At 55.7% G+C, this 22,693-nt stretch overlaps 1 protein-coding gene across 3 annotated transcripts in view; it reads left to right on the top strand.

Annotated features, from left to right (window-relative positions):
• Positions 1-11,295, top strand: part of ANKRD11 (ankyrin repeat domain containing 11) — a 222,932-nt gene extending 211,637 nt beyond the window's left edge. For all 3 annotated transcript variants that reach the window (NM_001256183.2, NM_013275.6, NM_001256182.2), the window contains 4 exons: positions 3,734-3,832; positions 3,968-4,111; positions 8,016-8,108; positions 10,262-11,295. In NM_001256183.2, coding sequence (NP_001243112.1) covers positions 3,734-3,832; positions 3,968-4,111; positions 8,016-8,108; positions 10,262-10,447 — 522 coding nt within the window. In that variant the 3' untranslated portion in view covers positions 10,448-11,295. The remainder of the gene's footprint in view (positions 1-3,733; positions 3,833-3,967; positions 4,112-8,015; positions 8,109-10,261) is intronic.

The following is a 22,693-nucleotide window of genomic DNA, read 5'->3' as shown; positions in this document are numbered from 1 at the left end:
TTCTGCTGTGGAGGCAAAAGCCGGAAGCTGCCCAGCTGTTCTGCAGACCCGAGGTCCTTCCTCCAGCTGGTCCGTGCCAGGCCTCGGTCTCCTGACCTCCCCCTCACCCTGGGTGCACCCCGGTCCCACTCGTGTGGGGCTCCCCCTTCACGCCGCTCACTCTCCCCTCTCCACTCCCCGTCCACCAGGACGGCCTCACGAGAGCCACCCCCTGTGTCTCCTGCCCCTGCCCCGCCCCCTTCTCCCTTGGACCCGCGTGGGTTCCCTGAGCCTCCATACCTGCACGATGAGTCCCTTCCCCCACCTCCTCCCTTGGGCTTCTGGGACAGCAGAGCTGCAGCTCCCTTGGGGCAGCTTGGTCCTCGGCCCCCAGCCTCACCTTGTTCCACCTGACCCTGTCAGCCCAGTTCCCCAGGCATCATCCCTACCTCTGCAGGCTCAGGTGAAACATCTCGGAATCACCCCCACTCCCCCAGCTCCTTGCGCTACGTCTGGGCCCAAAATAGATCCCTCCAAATGGGGCCCTGCTCTGAGCACATTCCCATGAGGGCTGCCTGCCCTGTGCACTCTCTGCCCTGGGCCGCGGGGCCTGACTGGGTTCCCACCTCCTCCTACCCACTGGGGTCTTTCCCAGCAGGCACAGGGATTCCTCATGGGGGAGGCAGAGCCCACCCGTCTGTCCTCGGTGACGGCCTGAGCTGTGCACGGCCTCCCCTGCCCTCCTGTTCTCAGGCCCCCCAGGGTCCATCCAGCCCCAGCGTGTGGCGTTCTGGCTCTTCCCTGGAGTCTCCTCCCAGACCACGCGACTCCACTCACACTGTGCCTAGCGGACTGTGTGGTTGATGCAGCCGTCTCGCTTGAGTGTGTTGTGTTATGCCCAGAACAGGCTTGCCGTCACCAATGGCCATTTCCTTCTGGGGATTCCTGGGCACTGAAACTCGCAGGTGGCGTGAGGTACAGCCAGGGGCCCTCCACACGCGTTGGCTCTGTGGGCCCAGGCCGCCTGAGGCCCCTCGCCGTGCTGGCCCTGACCTGGCTCAGCTACCCAGCACCCCCCTGGTGAGGATGACGGGGTCTGCTGAGCTTGCCCTGAGGGTGAGGCTGGGTCTGTGCTGCTGGCCGACATGTCAGGGACGTTGTGCAGGATCCAGGAGCGGGCGCCCTCGGGCCCCACCCTGCCAAGCTCTGAGCTCTGCTCCCAGGGAGCACGAGGGGCACTGCACCCACGGTGACCTCTGCGGTCTTTCCCTTCCCCGCGAGCCTGACCCCAGCCGTCCCCGGGGAGGCTCATCCACAGAAGACAGAGACGGCAGTTGGGTCATGACATTCAGAAAAACCTGCCCCAGGATCTCTCCTCAGTAAGACCTTCTGATCTTCTGACCTTCTGTGCTTTTTGTTGTTTTGTTTTCTCGTTTAATGGATCATAACACTAGTCTGACTGCTGTAGAAAATTTGGAAAATACAGGGGAAAAAAGTCACTAGAATCCTGCCAATCTGAGTAGTCCTGGGAATGTTCTGTGCACCTCCCGCCTGGTCTTTTGAGTACCCCCCAGACCTAGACCCAGGCAGGCCCAGGTGCCAGGTGCTGCCTGAGGCCCAAGGCACAGCTCCTGCTGTAGCTGCCGGCCCTGGGGCTGAGCCAGAGGAAGGGGTGGTGCCGGGTCCTGGGCTGTGCATTCGCTTGAGCTCGCATCAGTCCCACCTTGGAGGTGGCCCACAGAATCCCTGCCACCGACGGGCCCCATCTCAGCAGAACCCTCACTGGGGGGCTGGGCTCGTCGAGGCAGGGTGGATGTGGTGCTGAACAGAGTGAGGTCTGTGGACTAGAGGGACTTTGCTACATTTTTTAATCCATTTTTTTTTTTTTTTAAGACAGAGTCTCACTCTGTCACCCAGGCTGGAGTGCAGTGGCGTGATGTCGGCTCACTGCAAGCTCCACCTCCCCGGTTCAAGCAATTCTCCTGCCTCAGCCTCCTGAGTAGCTGGGATTACAGGCGCCCACCACCACGTCCGGCTAATTTTTGCATTTTCTGTAGAGACAGGGTTTCACCATGTTGGTCAGGCTGGTCTCAAACTCCTGACCTTGTGATCCGCCTGCCTCAGCCTCCCAAAGTGCTGGGATTACAGGTGTGAGCCACTGCGCTCGGCCTAAATCATTAATTTTGAACTGATTTTAGATGGGCAGAAAAGTTCAGAAACAGCAGAGATAGGTTTATGCACCTGCTGCACGCCCAGCCTCCCCTGAATGTGCCTTAGGAGCCGTGGAGGTGACGAGACCCTGCCGTGCGTCCACGCTGTGGCAGGCCCTCCCGTGCCCTGTCTCCTGGCTGGGAGCTTCTGGGCAGTGTCGGTCAGCAGTGTGGTCAGAGGCCCCAGGCCTGGCCTGCGATGATGCTTCTTAGGCAGGAGCCTATAGGCGTGAGGCGGGGCCTTCTGCTCCTGGTGTCATAGGTGACGTGACCTGGAGGCCTGGTCAGGCCCGTCCACCATGAGTTGAAGTCTCTCCCTCTGTGGTGTGTGTGTGTGTCTTGGAAGAGACGTGGAGACTGCGTGAGGCTGTTTCTCTCAGCCCATTGTCCATGCGCATCGCTGTCCACGGCTCTCGTCTGCAGCAGTCACTCCTGTGCGCTGGGCCTGTCTCCCTCTCCTGTGTCCGCTAACTGGAGCTGTGCTGTCAGGAGCCACCCCTTCCGCCTGCAGGTGCCCGGCATCGCCAGCGTTGGTCTCATGCCATGAGTCGCCCCAGCCTTGGCTGTCAGGAGCTCTTCCTGGTCTCCCTCTTGTGCGTCCACCTGCCCATCTGCCCCGTGCGCTCCTGTTGCTGACTGGCCCCTCGATGTTCCAGCTGGTCTTGGCCACCCGGCTCCGCCTTGCCATTACCGTGTGGGTCCACCTGTGGGGAGTGGTGGCCCTGGTACGACTGCTGTGGCCCCGAGCACACGGCCATGCTTTCTGGGTCTGCTTTGGAAACCTGACTCCCTGTGGGCCTGAGGTCTCTGCTGCACTGCGGGGCTCAGCCTGGCTCCCCGCTCCTGTGTGGGCCTTGTTTCTCCAAGAGTGTGAGGCCTCATCCTGATGGTCTCGGCTGTCTTTACTTCCTCATTCACTTCCAGCATGCATGTAGTTTCAGAATGGCCGACCCACCTCTGTGAGAACCCTTCTGCTGGTGGGAGTGCAGTGCCTGCGCTTCCGGCCCACAGTCCCCCAGCCCCCACGGGGACCTGGGCCAGTGCGTGCTTCCCTCCCCCGAGCCACTGCAAGACCACCGGCTCGGTTGTCAGCTTTCATATTCCACTGTGCACGTTACAGCCTGGTTGAAAGGCTGATTTGGGGTGCATGGGCCCTCCCTGTGAACACAGGAAGCTCAGCCTACCCCCAGCCCCCTCCTGCTGTCTCGCTGTATCTCCTCTGCACAGTTGGGTGCTCATGCCGGTGTTTCAGGCCCTCCTTGGCACACGATGGCCCACAGATACTGTCCCGCGCCTCTCCCTGCACTATCTCCTCACTGCGTGGTGCTGTACGGGGCACCGTGGAGGTGTCCGCTCTCCCGCGTCCAGCACATAGTGGTTTCTAGAAGCTTCCTGGTGTGTCTGTTGCTGGGACTGGAGGAGGCCTCCAGGGCAGGCTCCTAGGAGTGGGGAGGCTGAGTCGGGACCCCCGTGAACTCCAGACTATATCCTTCGTGCAGTTCCACAGCCCCAGCTGACCCCCCACACTCACCTTTTGCCTGTAGATCGCACCCCCTCCCTCCCTGGCGGAGCCCCTGAAGGAGCTGTTCAGGCAGCAGGAGGCCGTCCGGGGAAAGCTGCGTCTACAGCACAGCATCGAGCGGGTAAGTGGGCTGGCACAGGCAGGGGGGCGCCACGGCCAGGGCTTTTCACGGCGCAGGCCCCAGGGGCTGTCGTGTTGACAGTGGGGCCTGGAGCGTGGCTGTGTCCCAGCTCACTCTACTCCTCTCCTCCTTCAGGAGAAGCTGATCGTATCCTGTGAGCAGGAGATTCTGCGGGTTCACTGCCGGGCGGCCAGGACCATCGCCAACCAGGCAGTGCCATTCAGCGCCTGCACGATGCTGCTGGACTCCGAGGTCTACAACATGCCCCTGGAGAGCCAGGTAGGGCCCGTCTGCATGCCAGGCCCATGAGTCCAAGTGCCTGCACCCTGCCCGCCTCCCCTCCCCTTGATAGATTCTGCACTTTGACCAGGAGCTTCCCGGGTGCTCAGCACCTTGCAGGGGCTACAGAGTCCTTTGCATGCCTCTAGCCTTGGGCGAGCCTCAGAAAGGAGCCAAGAAGGCTGCAGCAGACAGCAGACAGCTCCCCGCACGGGCAAGGCCCTCAGGCCACTGGGCTGGGCCTCAGCAGCTCAGTCCCTCCGTAACACTTGTCCATGCAGTTGGAGCACCTGCCCCTACCTACCTCTCACGGGTGTCAGCGCTGGCATTATTTTCTGTTTAAACTGCTGGGCTCCACCTGCTGCTCTCAGGCACCCCAGGGCTGCCACATCGAGGGCTTTCACAGCACAGGCCCCAGGGGCTGTCATACGGGGACAGCAGGGACACTGGGTGGCTAAGGGAACACGGGCACCCAGGTGTGCCGCTCATCTGGGCCAGGGCGGGCCGGACTCAGGGTTCCAGAACTACAGTCACTGTCCTGCCCATCTGCTGTGGGGCTCCCGCCCACCCCTGCAGCTCCCGTGCCTTTGACCTGCTCTGTCCACTGGGACATAGGATGTGGGCGGCCAGGGCCCCGTGGCTCTCCCTGGGGCAGCTCTTCCTGTCTGCCTTCAAGCAGCCCATGTGCCAGGGACTCCTGCCTCAGAAATCATCCTCCAGCCACCACTGACCTGTCCATGTGGGACCCCTGGCTCTCCCGTTGCCTCGCCTGCATCAGCCCCTCCCTCCTCCTCGGAGCCCACTGCGCTCAGGTTGTGGGCTCCCTGGACCCCAGGCCCCACATCCTGTGCAGTGGGACGTGCCTGGAACACATTCCTGCCTTGGTGTCCAGATCTCGCACCGAGAGCCCTCGTAATATGTGCCCCCCTTGACGCCACCCCAGCCCTGGGCACTCTGAGCAGTGCACTAGGCTTTGCTGTGTGGTGACAGCCAGGGGCTCCCAGATGTTTAGTTGAAAACATCTCTTTGTGCATTAAAGATCTTCCTTTCTTTGGGGATGTATTTTATCAATGTCTCTCATATACACAATGACAAATTTTATTTTCCTTTTTTTTTTTGTGACGGAGTCTCGCTCTGTTGCCAGGCTGGAGTGTGGTGGTGTGATCTTGGCTCACTGCAACCTCTGGCTTCCGGGTTCAAGCGATTCTCCTGCCTCAGCCTCCCGAGTAGCTGGGATCACAGGCATGCGCTACCATGCCCGGCTGATTTTTGTATTTTTAGTGGAGACGGGGTGTCACCATGTCCAGGATGGTCTCGATCTCTTGACCTTATGATCCACCCGCCTCAGCCTCCCAAAGTGCGGGAGTTACAGGCGTGAGCCACCGCACCCAGCCGACAGATTTTCTTTAAAGAAAACATGAGTTGGACCAAATGGTGCTTTGGGGGCTGGATGCTGATAAGTTTGCATTCTTGTACCGCAGGTGAGAGGCTGTGATGGACAGGCAGTCAGGACAGCTCTGTACAGAGCAAAAATGAGGAGGACCAGCTCGTGCCTCTAACACCTTCCAAGGAAGCATTACTTCCCTCTTTATTTCTCCAATGGGTGTCCATCCCCTCAAGCATTTAGCCCTTGAGTTACAAACAATCCAGTTAACGCTCTTATATGTTATTTTAAAATACACAATGCAGTTACTATTGACTACAGTTACCCTATTGTGCTGTCAGATAGATAGTAGGTCTTATCCATTCTTTTTTTTTTTTTTTTTTTTGGTACCCATTAACCACTTCTACCTCCCTGCCAGCCCCCCACAACCCTTCCCAGCCTCTGGTAACCGTCGTTCTACTCTGTGTCCATGAGCTCAATTGTTCTGATTTTTAGATCCCACAAGTGAGAGAGAACATGTGATGTTTGTCTTTGTATGCTTATTTCACTTAACATCATGACCCCAGTTCCATCCACGTGTTTGCAAATGACAGGATCTCATTCTTTTTTGTGGCTGAATAGTACTCCGTTGTGTATGTAGCACATATTCTTTATCCATTCATCTGTTGATGGACACAAGCCTTAGCTATAGTAAATGGGGTTGCGTTAAATATGGGAGTGTGGACACCGTTTCAATATACTGATTCCTTTTCCTTTTTGTGATTCTGAGTCTTCCTCTGTCACCCAGGCTGGAGAGCAGTGGCACGATCTCAGCTCACTGCAGCCACTGCCTCCCGGGTAGCTGGGATCACAGGCGCGCACCACCACACCTGGCTAATTTTTGTATTTTTAGTAGAGATGGGGTTTCACCATGTTGGCAAGGCTAGTCTGAAACTCTTGACCTCAGGTGATCTGCCCGCCTCAGCCTCCCAAAGTGCTGGGATTACAGGCGTGAGCCACCGTGCCTGGCCCCCAGTTTCTTTCTTTTGGGTCTATACCCGGCAGTGGGATTGCTGGATCCTATGGTAGCTCAATTTTTAGTTTTTTGAGGAAACGCCAAACTGTTCTCCACGGCGGCTGTTTTAATTTACATTCCCACCAACGGGGTACGAGGGTTCCCTTTTCCCCACATCCTCGCGAGCAATTGTGATTGTCTGTCTTTTGGATAAAGGCTATTTTAACCGGGGTGAAGTGATGTCTCACGGTAGTTTTGAATTGCATTTCTCTGACGATCAATGATGTTGAGCTCCTCTTCAGATGCCTGTTGGCCATTTGTGTGTCTCCTTTGAGAAACGTCTATTCAGATCTTTTGCCCGTTTTTTTGATGGGATTATTAGATTTTTTCATATCGAGTTAATTGCATGCCTTCTATGTTCTGCTTGAGAATCTGTGTGACAGGAGCGGTTTGCAGGCGTTTCCTCCCATTCTGTGCGTGTCTTTTCACCCTGTTGACTGTGTCCTTTGCTGGACAGAAGCTTTTGAACTTGATGTGATCCCATTTGTCCATTTTTGCTTTGGTTGCCTGTGCTTCGGGGTATTGCTTGAGAAATGTTTGCCCAGGCCAATGTCCTGGAGATTTTCCCCAGTGTTTTCTTGTAGTGGTTTCATCGTTTAAGGTCTTGGATTCCAGACTTTGATCCATTTTGGTTTGATGTTTGTATGTGGCGAGAGCTAGGGTCTCGTTTCACTCTTCTGCGATGCGTAGCCAGTTTTCCCAGCACCGTTTACGGAAGAGACTGTCCTTTCCCTGTGATCGTTATTCTGTTCTTGGCACCTTTGTGGAAAGTGAGTTCCCTGCAGGTGTGTGGGTTTCTGTCGGTGCTCCACATGTTCTGAGAAACAGACGGCATTGTCAGCTTCACCATGAACCCGTGAAAAAGGGGAGGAGCCTGGACATCTTATCCGTGTCCACCCTTCAGGACACAGGACGGTGACATATCTAGAAAGTCTCGCCCAGGAGAAACCCCGTCTCTACTAAAAATACAAAATTAGCTGGGCGTGGTGGCTGCCTGTAATCCCAGCTACTCAGGAAGGCTGAAGCAGGAGAATCGCTTGAACCCTGGAGGTGGAGGCTGCGGTGAGCCAGGATCGCGCCATTGCACTCCAGCCTGGGCAACAAGCGAAACTCTGTCTCTTAAAAAAAAAAAAAAAAGTCTCTCCCAGGAGTTGGCAGTGGGCTGAGCTCTGACTGTCCCCTGGGGGCAGGGCTGGGGACCGGCTCACAGGTGGGGCCTGCGGGCACCCGGTGCCCAGGAGACAAAGGCCCAGCTGCCTCCACGCGCATTTTAGGGAGGCTGTTTAGGGAGATGGGCAGGGTGCGCCTGCCATGCCTTGAACATGATTCAGTGTGTGCGCGGTGGAATGAGGCTCCCCCTGTGGTTGTCCCTTGAGAACGGTCACTGCAGCATCGCCCAGGCTGGCATGCCTTCCCGTAGCGGTCTCTGGGGCTCCTGATGAAACTCCCGTGTTTGGTTTCCACAGGGTGACGAGAACAAGTCAGTGCGCGACCGTTTCAACGCCCGCCAGTTCATCTCCTGGCTCCAGGACGTGGATGACAAGTATGACCGCATGAAGGTCGGTGTTGCGCGTCCCCTCAGTTCTGCCTGGGGGAGGCTGCTGCCCAGTTCTGTGATGGGTGGTGACAACCCCCTTTGCGCTGCCTGGGGGGAGGCCGCTGCCCAGTTCTGTGATGGGCGGTGACAATTTCAGATTCTCTTAATCTGGCCGATGCTTTCGGGGAGGTGAGGTCCTGTCCCTGCGTGTGGCCTCCTCAGTCTTCCCTTCTGTCCCGGTGTGCAGGGAGCGGCTCCTGTCGCCAGCTCAACAGGACCCTAGGCTTGATGGTCAGAACTCCTGGGACTGCCCTGTGAGCCCCCTCTAAGGTCCCAGCATTCACCCTCCACTGCTCTGGAAGTGCTGGCCAGGGCGGTGGGCAGGGGCGGGGGAGGTGCCGGGAAGGGCAGCACACCCTTATCCCGGTCGCGAGGGCTGCTCACCGGGACACCCTGGAGGATCCACCAGGAGGCAACGGAAGGCGGAAACTTGCCAAAAGTTACAGAACTTTACAGTCAGCGTCACCCTGTACAGTCACCAGCCAGGCCTGGGAGCAGGCGGCCCCGGCTACCTGCAGTATCAGGCTCAGCACCACCCAGGTCCCTGAACCAAGCACCCGTGTGTCATACTGCAGCTCTCAGAAAGGTGCTGATGTGGGCACAGATGAGAACCACCAGCCCTACCCGGTGGGAGCTGTGGGTATTTGGGGAGCGTGGCCCCTGGGGGCTTGTGCTGAGGAACTCAGGTCTGAGGCGTAGCTGAGTGTGCATTTCTGGCCAGCCCTAAGATGATGGTGCAGGAAGTCACTCACACCACACCCTCCCCAGGCCACTAGGCCCTTCCTAACCAGAGCCGTGAGAAAAAACTGAAAGCTTCATAAAGACACATGGAAGACTTTCCTGTAAGAAGATAAATGTTTGACTACATTAAAATGGGACTTTGGGCGGGGTGCGGTTGCTCACACCTGTAATCCCAGCACTTCGGGAGGCTGAGGTGGGTGGTTCACCTGAGGTCAGGAGTTCGAGACCAGCCTGGCCAACATGGTGAAACCTCGTCTCTAGTAAAAATACAAAAATTAGCTGGGCATGGTGGTGCGTGCCTGTAATTCCGGGAGACTGAGGCATGAGAATCATTTGAACCCGGGAGACAGAGGTTGCAGTAAGCCAAGATTGCACCACTGCACTCCAGCCTGGGGACAAAATTTAAAAAAAAACCTTAGGGATATGTATAAAAATATTCACTGGAACAAAACTGGAAACTCACTCAGAGGCCCATCAGTAATTCAGTGACTCACCGGAGTTTGGAACATCCAAAGGGTATTATATGATTCCATGTAACAATTTACACTGGTGATGTCTGAGCTGCCGAGTAAAAGCTATGAGGCCCATTGAGGAGGATTGTGAATCCATCCTGAGCTTCGAAAACGATTTCATACATATATATATGTTGAGAAAAATTTAGAGACAGACATGATCACACTGCAGCTCGCCAACATCGCAAAACCCCATCTCTACAAAAATCAGCTAGGCGTGGTAGCACTTGTAGTCCCAGCTACTCGGGAGGTTGAGGAGGGAGGATCCCTTGAGCCCCAGAGGTCAAGGCTGCAGTGAGTCATGATTGCACCACTGCACTCCAGCCTTGAGACGGTATCTAAAAAAGATTCTCTACACGGTTGCTTGTGACATACCAGTACTCCCTGGCCACGCTTCCATTTCTCCATTAGTTTCCAAAATATGTGCTACCCCAGTCCAGTCCCCTTATGTGCACTTTTAAATGGCATAGTTTCTACTAGAAATACAAGTGAAACTATCACTGGCCGTAAGTAATTGTAAAATGACAAAAGCAAAGCTGTTCGATTCTAATAAGCTGCAGTGGCTGCTGGAGGTGAGTCCCAGGCCCACCCAGAGCAGGGCAGGGCCCCCGGGCCAGGGTGAGCCCCAGGCCAGGGTAGAGGTGGCATAGACAGCGGTTATGGGGACAGACATGTAGCACAGCTGGCGCTACCGCCACGTGTAGTAACTAGATGCCAGGAGCGGGTACAGCTGGGCCTGGCCCATACCAGGGTAGGTTCACGGCCGTATCACGCCCTTGGCCCTGCTGGCAGCTGAGGTCGGCAGAGTCTGGGGCTCTCCCTTCACTCCTCCTCCCTCCTCTCCCCGCTGTGTGTCCCGCAGACTTGCCTCCTCATGCGGCAGCAGCACGAGGCCGCGGCCCTGAACGCCGTGCAGAGGATGGAGTGGCAGCTGAAGGTGCAGGAACTGGACCCCGCCGGGCACAAGTCCCTGTGCGTGAACGAGGTGCCCTCCTTCTACGTGCCCATGGTCGACGTCAACGACGACTTTGTATTGTTGCCGGCATGACACCGCGGGACGGCCGCAGGACGCAGGCGAGGGCCGCACGGCTGCCCAGGACTGCTGCTGAGCCCCAGGGGCGGAGGAGGGAGCGCCCTGTCCACCCGGGCGGGGAGAGACCCCGAGAGAGACTGCACTTGGCCACAGCGCCTCCATCCCTTCCAGACTGGTCCAGACGTCGGGGAGGTGAAACACGTCTCTTCTCTACCAGCTGCCGCGGCGGGGGCAAAGCCCCCAGAGCCTCACTGGCCCCGGCGGGATGAGGAGACCATGCCGGGCGCGCACACACGGCAGCTTCTGTTTGAAAACGGCGACCTTCGGGCCCTTTTCTCCAGCAACTGCAGAGGCATTTCAGGAGTTGGAGAACGGAGTACATTTTTAAAATTTTTTGTTCCATTCTGATCAACTAAAGAAAATTAAGGTGTCCACCTCTCACAAACAGTGACCTGCAGGTCGGAGGGGCAGGAGCCCCATCCCAGCCGTGGTTCTGTTGCCGCCGAGCTGCGACGGCCTCAGACTGGGCTTCAGACCTGGTGCGGAGCCAGGCGGAGGGACACAGAGCCAGGACTCCCAGCCGTATTGAAATGGAGTCAAATCCGCGTGGTTTGTATCTTCTTTCCTTTAATCTTGGGCATTTTGTTTCTCTTTCTGAGAACGTAACTTGAAACACTACAGAGCCAATAATCATATAAAAAGTGTATCCGTAAACGCTGTACAGTTTTATATACCTTCACAATGTACTTTTGCTGCCTTCTAGATAATTTATTTTGCAACACATTACTGCACAGTTGTAAATAACTTATGTACTGTAACATCACTTTCAGTTATGTGTAAAGAAATAAATAAATTAATTAAAATGCTCTTTGTACAGTGCGTCCCTCCAGGAGAGGGGCTGTGTGTGGGACTGACACAGTGTCGCCCCTCTCGACGACCTTCTTACTCCCAGGACAGACGTGGTGGCTCACGCCTGTAATCCCAGCACTGTGGGAGGCCGAGGCGGGAGTCTGAGACCAGCCTGCCCAACATGGCAAAATCCCCTCTCTACTAAAAATACCAAAAATTAGCTGGGTGTGGTGGCGCGCGCCTGTAGTCCCAGCTACTCCGGAGGCTGAGGCAGGAGAATCGTTTGAACCCAGGAGGTGGAGGCTGCTGTGAGCTGAGATCACGCCACCCTACTCCACAGCAGACTCTGTCTGAAAAAAAAGAAAACCTTTTTCCTACCAAGTTGTTAGCTTTTAATTTTGAAACAAATTATCTGTTCCCCTCGTCCTCTGCCTTTGCACAGACCGGGAATGCTGTGGAATTACTGCCTCTTGTAGGAGCTGGAGAGAAACAGGAGCATCACTCCCCACGGATCTGAGCACTGCAGCCGTGGCCAGACCCCGTGGCCAGCTGTGCACGCCCCTGAGCTTCAGCTTGTGGCTGGCTGGCTTGTGCCCCTGCCCACAGTTCCCTGGCAGCTGCAGCTGGTGAGGGTCCGCGCTTTGAGAGCCCTGTCCTGGCTGGAAGGCAGCTCAGGCAAGCATGGAGATGCGAGGCCTCTGCTCAGAGGATCTTGGCACAGAGGATGCCTGCCAGGACCCTCCAGCCAGTGTGGCTCCAGGAGACTGTTGGCCCCCGGCGTGACAGGAGGGTGAGCTGATGGAGGCGCCTCACCCTTTTCCTTCTGAGCTGTCTGTCCCCTGTACCTGGGTGCTGGGGAGGGAGTGGCAGCTACAGAAACAACCCCCACAGAAGAGCAGACACTGCCCGTGCATCAGAATCAACAGGGTCCTGGTCACTGGGTCCCCTGCGGAGGAGCCCGACCTGGGAGGGTCCCTGAGCCCTGCCAGGCTGAGCCAGTGGCGGGGGCAGTGGCTTCATTCCCCCAAAGGCTGCTGTGAGCTCCCTCGCCAGCTGGGCCCCTGCGTGGGGTTGGGGGTAGGCGTGGGGCCATGCCCCCTCTCCTGTCTTCGATCTGTGAACAGAACTTTTGTGGATTCCCTCCTGTTCCCTTCAGGGCTGAGCCTGAGCAAAGGCAGGGTTGTCCACCTCATTTACGGGCTTGGGGTGGGGGTGTGGAGAAGCCAGAAGGTTCCAGTCTATTTTTCTGGGTTCGGATTAGCTGTGGTTTGTTTTGGGGGCTTCGTGGGTTTTTGGGGGTTTTTTGCTTGCTTTTGAGATGGAGTCTTGCTCTGACCCCCAGGCTGGATGGAGCACAGTGGCGCAATCTCAGCTCACTGCAGCCTCCACCTCCTGGGTTCAATTCTCCTGCCTCAGCCTCCCGAGTAGCTGGGACTACAGGCGCCTGCCACCACACCCGGCTAGTTTTTGTATTTTTAGTAGAGACGGGGTTTCACCATCTTGGCCAGGCTTTTTGTTTTCTCCACACCCCCTCAATCACAGAACTTTGGTCACAGTAAAACTTCCTTTAAGCCCTGCCTTAAAAGAAAAACCTGAGTCAGCCTGTGTCACACAGAGCACGCTGCAGTTCCAGCCCACAGTGGTGACGACGTCCCGGCCACCATGCTGTGCCTCCCTGTCTCGGGTGCCCACGAGGGGTGTCAGGCGAGAGCAGCTCCCTTCCGGCCCCCACCCTGGTCTGCTGGAGTCTCGGCTCCCGTGCACCTGCCAGAGATGCCGCACATGCGACTCCCAAACAGCCTCCTGCCATAGGGGACGAGAGACAGCCTGCCGCCCCTCAGAGAGACTTGTGAATAAACACTGAGAAACGTCAGAGTACCCAGAACCGCAGGAGCCTGCGTGCCAGCCTGGAGACCCTGCTGCCCGGGGCCACCCATGTGGGCTTCAGACCGCTCTCGGGAGTCTCTGGCTGGAGCTGGAGGAAGATGGCGTAACCCCACTCGCTCAACTACATCCATGGACCCCAGCGCTACCCAGCTCCTGCCTGGGAGCCCGGGCTCTGGAGCAGGCTGGCTCTGAGGGTCCACCACCTGTAACTCAAGCCTTCCTGATGCCTTCCCTTCCGGAGGCTCTGAGGACTGCCATTAGCAAAAAAAAAAACAAAAAACAAACAAACCCAAAGCACAGAGCAGGTGAGTGCTCGGACCCTAGGCACTTCAGGGAAGCCAGCACCCCTCCCTGGCACAGGGTCCCCCTCTCAGGGAAGCTGGCGCCCCTCCCCGACACAGGGTTCCCCCTCAGGGAAGCCGGTGCCCCTCCCCAGCCGAGGGTCCCCCTCTTAGGGAAGCTGGCACCCCTTTCTGGCACAGGGTCCCCCTCTCAGGGAAGCTGACACCTTGCCAAGGCGTAAGGCCCCAGGCTTCAACAGAAAAAGGAAAGAAATATGGCGGCTTTTGCTGCTGTAGAAGAGAAGCTGGTGGCTTTTGTAAAACCTGGAAGGAGGTGAGAGGTTTTTGTGGAAAGCCCGTGAGCCGTCAGCTCCCCGCACAGAGAGCGCCTGCTCTGCCCAGGAGACCGTGCAGCATCTGGCAAGACAGGTCTCCATTCAGGGGTCGCCATTTCCAAGCGGCAGCTGGGCCTGGGCCTGAGCCTGGCAGGAGGGGAAGGGCCCCAGCACGTGGAGCCGCACACAACCTCCACCCACCTCCCCCCACACCAGGGAGCTGCTTTCCTCCTTCCCGCTGGGGGACAGCGAAGACAGTCTCACAGGAGAGTAGAAGGAACTGGGCCCAGCTTGGCTCTGTTGGAAAGCAGAATGAAATACTGAAGCTAGAGAGAGGGACCCACAGGCAGTGAGAAGGCAGCCGTGGCATCAGCAAGAGCTCAGCTGTGGCATCAGCAAGAGCTCAGGGACGAGGTGCAAGTTGTACACCACAGCTGGGGGAGTGCAGTGGTATAAACCCCAAAAGCCCCATTACTGGGCACAGAACGTCACTCACATCTGAAATTACCTGTGATAAACTGGAAACATGGCTCACACCTGTGGTCCCAGCTGCTTGGGAGGCTGCAGCAGGAGGATCACTTGAGTCCAGGAGCTCACGGCGGTAGTGCACCGTGAGTGAGCCTGCGAACAGCCATTGCCTTCCCACCTGGGCAGCTCAGCAAGATCCTGTCTCTAAAACCAAAAATCAGGCTGGGTGTAGTATTTCACACCTATAATCACAACAGGAAGCCAAGGCAGGAGGATGCTTGAGCCCAGGAGTTCATGTCCAGCCTGGACAACATAATGAGACCCTGTCTCAACAACAACAACAAAGAACAGGCATGGTGGAGCGCGTCTGCGGTCCCAGGTACTCGGGAGGCTGAGGCGGGAGGATCGCCTGAGCCCAGGAGGCTGAGGCTGCGGTGAGCTGTGATGGTTGCTCCAGCCTGGGGGACAGAGCAAGACTCTGTCTTCAAAAAAAAAAAAAAAAAAAAGATACCAGCCGGGTGTGGTGGCTCACGCCTGTAATCCCAGCACTTTGGGAGGCTGAGGCAGGTGGATCACGAGGTCAGGAGTTCAAGACCAGCCTGGCCAACATGGAGAAACCCTGTCTGTACTAAAAATATAAAATTAGCTGGGTGTGGTGGCACAAGTCTGTAATGCCAGCTACTCAGGAGGCTGAGGCAGGAGAATCGCTTGAACCCGGGAGGCGGGGAGGGAGGTTGCAGTGAGCCGAGTTCGTGCCACTGGACTCCAGGCTGGGCCAGAAGAGCGAAACTCCGTCTCCAAAAAGAAAGAAAAAGGAAAGATACCAAGTTAAAATCGCAGCAGCCAGAGCCATTTACCCTGCAGTCAAGACCCCCACAATTAAGAAAAGGGGAAATAAATGACAATTCAAAGCAGCTACATAGAGACTGATTATGTCCCAGGTCAGAACCTCTGAGGGGGTGAGCTGATATGACAGAAAGGACGCAGGACTTCCAGGGTAGCAAGTCCCTCTGAAAATCCCTCCTCGAGAAAAGCAATGACACCACTAGGGAAAAAATTGTCAAAATTAACTTTTTCAGAACTCTGGAAATTATTAACTAAGGCTTGTAATAATTTAATGAATGTTTATTAAAGAAAAACAGCCGAGGCTTGGCATGGTGGCTCATGCCTGTAATCCCAGCACTTTGGGAGGCCGAGGTGGGTGGATCACCTGAGGTCAGGAGTTCAAGACCAGCCTGGCCAACATGGTAAAACCTCGTCTCTACTACAAATACAAACAGTAGCTGGGCATGATGGCACATGCCTGTAATCCCAACTACTTGGGAGGTTGAGGCAGGAGAATTGCTTGAACCTGGGAGGCGGAGGTTGCAGTGAGCCAAGATTGCACCAGTACACTCCAGCCTGGCTGACAGAGCAAGACTCCGTCTCCAAAAAGAAAAAGTAAAAAGAAAAACAGCTGAATATTGGTACAGAGAGCTTTGTCATTTTAACTTGCCGTGTTTCATTCTCCTTACTCCAACTCTCTGGTGCTTTGAAAACTAGCAGCCCAGAGAGGCAGGCTCAGTATGAGCCCCCAAAAGTCCCACCCCAGAGAGAGCTGTTGCCATCTTGATGGGGACAGGAGGTAGAGAAATTCTAGGCAGACAGGGGCAGGTTCCTGGTGAAGCCCCACCCTCAAGCTGAAATGCCTGAGACCATGGCCCACCTTGAGAACTGCCATCCCTGCTTTCCTGCCCTCATGTTGCCTGTTCCTAAACCACCATGGTCCCACCCTGCCCCCCGCCATCCTGTGTCTATAAAGGCCCCAGACTCAGCCAGCAGAGAGGAGAAGCAGCTGGATGTTAAGGGACAGCTTGACGGTGTCACTTCAGAGAAGAATCCATCTGCAGACACAGATGTGGCCAGACTTCAGGGGAAGATTACCTTCCCGCCCCATCCCCTTTCCAGCTCCCCTTCCTGCTGACAGCCACTTTCATCAGCAATAAAATCCCCCACATTTACCATCCTTCAATTCGTTTGCGTAACCTCATTTTTCCTGGATGCCAGACGAGCTCTAGAGCCACAGGTGGATACAAAAGGCGGTCACACCGGCCCTTTGCCTCTCACCGGCAGCCTCACGCGAAAAGGCAGAGGGTCCACTGAGCTGTTAACACTTCAGCTGTCTGTGGACGGCAGAGCTAAAGGAGCCCCGTAACACGCCCTCTGGGGCTTTGGGGGGCACAGGTACCCCGGCCCTGGATGCTGCACGGGGCCTGCACAGAGTTCACTGCTGCCGGCACCCAAAAGCACCTGCTCCAGCTCCTGCACCTGCTCACCCTCCTGCAAGGGGTGGAGCACAGAGGGTCCAAGTGAGTGGAGTTTGAACCCACCGGTGCCTAAACAGCCGGCCAGTTCCAGCGATCCTGCACTCCAGTCCTGCCTCATTGGCCCACACACTCCCTCCGCGAGGGGTTGAGGGCGGCAGGCTGAGTAAACCAGGCACCCCATTACGACTCCGGTGAAACAGCCTGCTTCAATCTCACCTCTGGCAGCTCCCTGGAAAGCATTCATAGGCCTGTGATATCTGGCCTGCCCTGCAGTTCGCTCAGTGAGAAAAGCCCCCTTTCCACAGCATTGGTCAGAAACAATCAGTGGCACCGTTTAACCACACAGCTGTCCAAGGCACTACCCACTGGGGCAGCCGGCACCTGCCCAGAAAGGACGAGGTGAGGAACGAGGCGCCTGTGGGGACCCGGGCAGCACTGACATTTTCCTGGGGACACGGAAAGCCCTGGGCACGTGTGGGTCTGTACGCACGGCCAGGAAGGGACAGAACATTCTCTGATCTCCCCTTGGCTGATTGAGGCCTTGTGCAAACAGAAAGCGAAAGCTACAGCAGAGCTGGAAACTGCTGGAAAAGCCTCCCAGCCAGGGAAAAAAGACTCACTGAATCGAGGCATTTAAGGAAACTGTACAGTACAGAGCGTTCACTGGTCACACAGCAAAGGGAGTAGAGAATTAGTCCAGAAAAGTCACTAAACACACAGAAGCAGCAACCAAACCACAAAGTAACAAAACCTGGGGGATAAGAACAACTGGTCTCATCATGTTGCTTTAAATGTCTACTTTTCAGCAAAAAAAAGCAGAGAAACAAAATATCACCCATAAATGGGGGGAAAAGCCATCAATAGATACCATCCTTGGGGAAGCCCAGATGCTGAACTTACTAAAGACTTTTTTTCTTTTTTTGAGATGGAGTCTCACTCTGTTACCCAGGCTGGAGTGCAATGGTGCAGTCTCAGCTCACTGCAACCTCCACTCCCCAGGTTCAAGCGATTCTCCTGCCTCAGCCGCCTGAGTAGCTGGACTACAGGCGCGTGCCACCACGCCCGGCTAATTTTGTATTTTTAGTAGAGACAGGGTTTCACTACATTGGCCAGGATGGTCTAGAATTCCTGACCTCGTAATCCGCCCGCCTCAGCCTCCCAAAGTGCTGGAATTACAGGCATGAGCCACCGCACCCGGCCGACTTTTCTTTTTTTTGAGAGAGAGTGTCGCTCTGTTGCCCAGGCTGGAGTGCAATGGCACAATCTCGGCTCACTGCAACCTCCACCTCCCAGATTCAGGCGATTCTCCTGCCTCAGCCTACAGACACACACCACCACCATGCCCAGCTAATTTTTGTATTTTTAGTAGAGACAGGGTTTCACTATGTTGGCCAGACTGGTCTTGAACTCCTGACCTCGTGATCCACCCACCTCAGCCTCCCAAAGTGCTGGGATTACAGGTGTGAACCACTGTGCCTGGCCTTTTTTGCTTTTTTTTTTTTTTTTTTGAGACGGAGTCTCACTCTGCCGCCCAGGCTGGAGTGCAGTGGCGCTATCTCAGCTCACTGCAACCTCTGCCTCCCAGGTTCGAGCAATTGTTCTGCCTCAGCCTCCCGAGTAGCTGGGATTACAAGTGCCCACCATCAGGCCTGACTAATTTTGTTTGTGTTTTTAGTAGAGATGGGGTTTCACCATGTTGGCCAGGCTGGTCTCAAACTCTTGACCTCAGGTGATCCACCGGCCTCAGCCTCCCAGAGTGCTGGGATTACAGGCATGAGCCACCGTGCCTGGCCCTTTTTTTCCTTTTAATAAGGTCTTGCTCTGTCACCCAGGCTGGAGTGCAGTGGCATGAACACAGCTCATTGTGGCCACGACCTCCTGGTCTCAAGCAGTCCTCCCAACCTCAATCTCCTGAGTAGCTGGGATGACAGGCACGCATCACCACACCTGGCTTTTTTTTTTTTTTTGAGACGGAATCTCTCTCTGTGGCCCAGGCTGGAGTGCAGTGGCGCAATCTCGGCTCACTGCAAGCTCCGCCTCCCGGGTTCACGCCATTCTCCTGCCTCAGCCTCCCAAGGAGCTGGGACTATAGGTGCCCGCCACCATGCCCAGCTAATTTCTTTTTTTAGTAGAGACAGGGTTTCACCGTGTTAGCCCAGATGGTCTCGATCTCCTGACCTCCGTGATCCGCCCGCCTCGGCCTGCCACTGTTGGGATTACAGGCGTGAGCCACCGTGCCCAGCCAACTTTTTTATTTTTTGTAGAGATGAGGCCTCACTATGTTGCCCAGGCTGGTCTTGAACTCCTGGGCTCAAGTGATCCGCCCACCTGCGCCTCCCAAAGAGCTGGGATTACAGGCGTGATCCACCACTCAGCTTAAATAAAGACAAAGTCAGCTGTTACGAATAATGTTCAAAGCACTAAAAGAAATTATGTTTAAAGAACTAAAATGGTAGTATGAAAATTGTCATTGTCTCACCAAATAGAAAATACAATACAGAGATAAATTATTCAAAAAGAATTAAATGGAAATTCTGTAGTTGTAAAGTAATTGAATTTGAGTTGGTAGAAGCAAGTATCAGCAAACTTGAAGATAGGTCAATTGACATAATGAAATGTGGCCAGGCGCCGTGGCTCATGCCTGTAACCCCAACGTTGTGCTAGGCTGAGGCGGGCAGATCGCTTGAGCCCAGGGATTTGAGACCAGCCTGGGCAACAGGGCAAAACCCCATCTCTACAAAAACAATTAGCCAGGTGTGGTGGCATGCACCTATAGTCTCAGCCATTTGCAAGGCTAAAGCGGGAGGTTCATTTGAGACCAGGAGTTCGAGGCTGCAGTGAGCTGTGACTGCACCACTGCTCCAGTCTGGGCGACAGAGTGAGACCACCCTGTCTCAATTAAAAAAAAAAAACTATTGATGGGTTTTTAATGTATGAGGGTATAATTTACATATACTTTGCAGCACACAGGAGGAGAAGACAGTGTTGGAGCTCATGGTTTGTATCCTGTTGAAATTTACCTACTATCTGGCCGGGTGCGGTGGCTCACACCTGTAATCCCAGCACTTTGGGAGGCTGAGGCAGGTGGATCACAAGGTCAGGAGTTCAAGACCAGCCTGGCCAACATGGTAAAACCCCATCTCTACTGAAAATACAAAAATTAGCTGGTTGCGGTAGCGGGCGCCTGTAGTCCCAGCTACTTGGGAAGCTGCGGCAGGAGAATCACTTGAACCCGGGAGACGGAGGTTGCAGGGAGCCGAGAATGCGCCACTGCACTCCGGCCTGGGCAACACAGCCAGACTCCGTCTCAAAAAAAAAAAAAAAAAAATTCACCTACTATCAATTGAAACTAGATTTTAGTTCATTATAATCCCAACAGCAATCCTTTTTTTTTTTTTTTTAACTCAGAAATGTCGTAAAAGAAACAAGGGAATGTAAATGGAATACTAGAAAATATTTGTTTAACACGAGAAGGCAGTAAGTAAGAAGAGGCGAGAAAGAAGTGATACAACAGCCGGGCGCGGTGGCTCACGCCTGTAATCCCGGCACTTTGGGAGGCCGAGGTGGGCGGATCACAAGGTCAGGAGATCAAGACCATCCTGGCTAACACGGCGAAACCCCGTCTCTACTAAAAATACAAAAAATTAGCCGGGCGTGGTGGCGGGCGCCTGTAGTCCCAGCTACTCGGGAGGCTGAGGCAGGAGAATGGCGTGAACCCGGGAGGCGGAGCTTGCAGTGAGCCGAGATCCCGCCACTGCACTCCAGCCTGGGCGACAGAGCGAGACTCCATCTCAAAAAAAAAAAAAAAAAAAATAGACAGCAAAATAGCAGAACTCCTTAACAGCAATTAACCGCAAATGGATTACACCTTCCAATTAAAAGGCAGAGATCGGCAGAATGGATTATAAAAGGATAACCATTCCGGAAAACCCAGACTCAATAAAAAAATAAAAATAAAGAGGATAACTGGACAGTTCAACAATAATGGCTGGAGACTTCAGTGCCTTCACTTTCCATCGTGGATCTAACAACAGGAAGAAAACACACCGGGAAACAGAAGACCTGAATAGCACTAACTGCTCCTGAGATGCCTCCAGACCACTCCACCTGGTGACAGAAAAACAGACTTTCCTCCCAGTGCACAGGATTCTTCTCCAAAAAGACTCTATGTTAGGCCACAGATCACACGTTGGAGAATTAAAACGGACGGCAATAATACAAAGCGTGCTCTCCAACCACAGCAGAATGAAGTTAGGAATCAGTAACAGGAGAGAATTTGGAAAAATCAAAAACATGAAAATTAAGTACCACACTCTTAAATAACCAATCAGTCAAGAAAGAGATCACGAGGGAGGCGGGCACGTTGGCTCACGCCTGTGATCCCAGCAGTCTGGGGGGCCGAGGCAGGAGGATCACTTGAGTCCAGGAGTTCGAGACCAGCCTGGGCAACACAGCAAGACCCAGTCTCTACAGAAAATACAAAAAATAGCCGGGGCGTGGTGGTGATACGAGAGGGGGGCAGGGAAGTGCTGGGTAGAGAAAGGAGGGTCCCCGGCCTCGGTGAGGACAGGCTCTCCTGCTCTCCTGCCCAAATGTTGCATTTTCCAAGACCACCCTGGCCCGCCATGCCCCCATCCTGGTACTATAAAAACCCAAGACCCTAGCAGGCCGACAAGGCAGCCGGACGTGGAGAGGAGCAGATCAGTGGAAGAAGACGCCAGCGGCTGCTCGGCAGGAAGACGGCGAGGGAGCAGCAGCCACCGGCGGCGGGACCAGGCGGGGTTTGGCCGGTTGGAGGAGAGCCGGGGCCGCCGAGCAGCCCGCGTCCAGGGCAGAACCGTCTCCCTTCCGGCTCCCCCAGCGGCTGAGAGCTCCTTCCAGGCAATACGACCCTGGGCGCATTCTCCAGGCCACGCGTGATCAGATTCTGCCGGTACACCGAAGCAGGAACCCGGGATACGGAAAGCGTCGGTCCTTGCGGCGAGGCGGGGGTCCCAGCACAAACCACCCCCAGACGGCAAACCAGCCGTGCAGCCTGGAACCCACGCCCACCGGGGCCTCAGGCGCCGCGAGACGCTGCCGCGGGGTCGGAGCCCCGCAGCCCGCCCGTCCCCGGAGGCGGCCACCCCCCACCACACCCCCGCGAGGCGCGCGAGGGGCTCTGCGGCTTCTGCGCTCACGCCCGTCGTCCCAGCTGCTCCGTGAGCCCGAGCGCGGGCGAGGCCTGAGTCACACTGAGTCACTGCGCCCCAGCGCGGGCGACGAGAGCCCGTCCCAACAGCAACGACGAGAGGGCGAGGAAGGGGAGGGCGGTGAGGGCACCCGGGACCTCGTGGTGTATTTTGACGACGGAATGCGCTTTCGGAGGCGACAGTGGTGACGACGCAGATGAGGTGACGTGCGCTGGAAGCGCCCCGAGCGCCACCCTGGGCCCGCACACGACTCGGTTTTGCACAGAGCGCGCCTGCCCTGCTGTCTGGCTTGGCGGACAACGAACCATTTGGTCAGGGCCCAGGCGACCTGTGTGGTCCCGGGGAGGGGCATGGAGATGGTGACAGGGTATCTTCTCCACGCCTCCCTCCCTTCCCCCACTGCCACCTCCGGTTTCCTGGGCATGGGGCGAAGGGCGACATCCGAGTCACTGAAGCAGGAAGCAGAGTTGGAAGAGGAGCCGGGATGGAGAGGCTGGCGTGAGCACAGTGACCAGGACTGATGCCAGGTTTTCTTTTGTTGTTTTGTTTAATTAGTTCGTTTTGTTTTGTTTTGAGACGGAGTCTCGCTCTGTCGCCCGGGCTGGAGTGGCGCCATCTCGGCTCACTGCAAGCCCCGTCTCCCGGGTTCACACCATGCTCCTGCCTCAGCCTCCCGAGTGTCTGGGACTACAGGTGCCCACCACCACGCCTGGCTCATTTTTGTATTTTTAGTAGAGACGGGGTTTCACCATGTTAGCCAGGATGGTCTCGATCTCCTGACCTTGTGATCCGCCTGCCTCAGCCTCCCAAAGTGCTGGGATTACAGGCGAGAGCCATGGCGCCCGGCCCTAGTTAGTTTGTTTTTTGAGATGGAGTCTTGCTCTGTCGCCCAGGCTGGAGTGCAGTGGTGCAATCTCGGCTCACTACAAGCTCCACCTCCCGG

The sequence above is a fragment of the Homo sapiens genome, chromosome 16 (assembly GCF_000001405.40).
Source record: "Homo sapiens chromosome 16, GRCh38.p14 Primary Assembly".
Classification (NCBI taxonomy): domain Eukaryota; kingdom Metazoa; phylum Chordata; class Mammalia; order Primates; family Hominidae; genus Homo; species Homo sapiens.
Note: the sequence above shows the minus strand (reverse complement) of the source record. Positions and strands in the feature narration are given on the sequence as shown.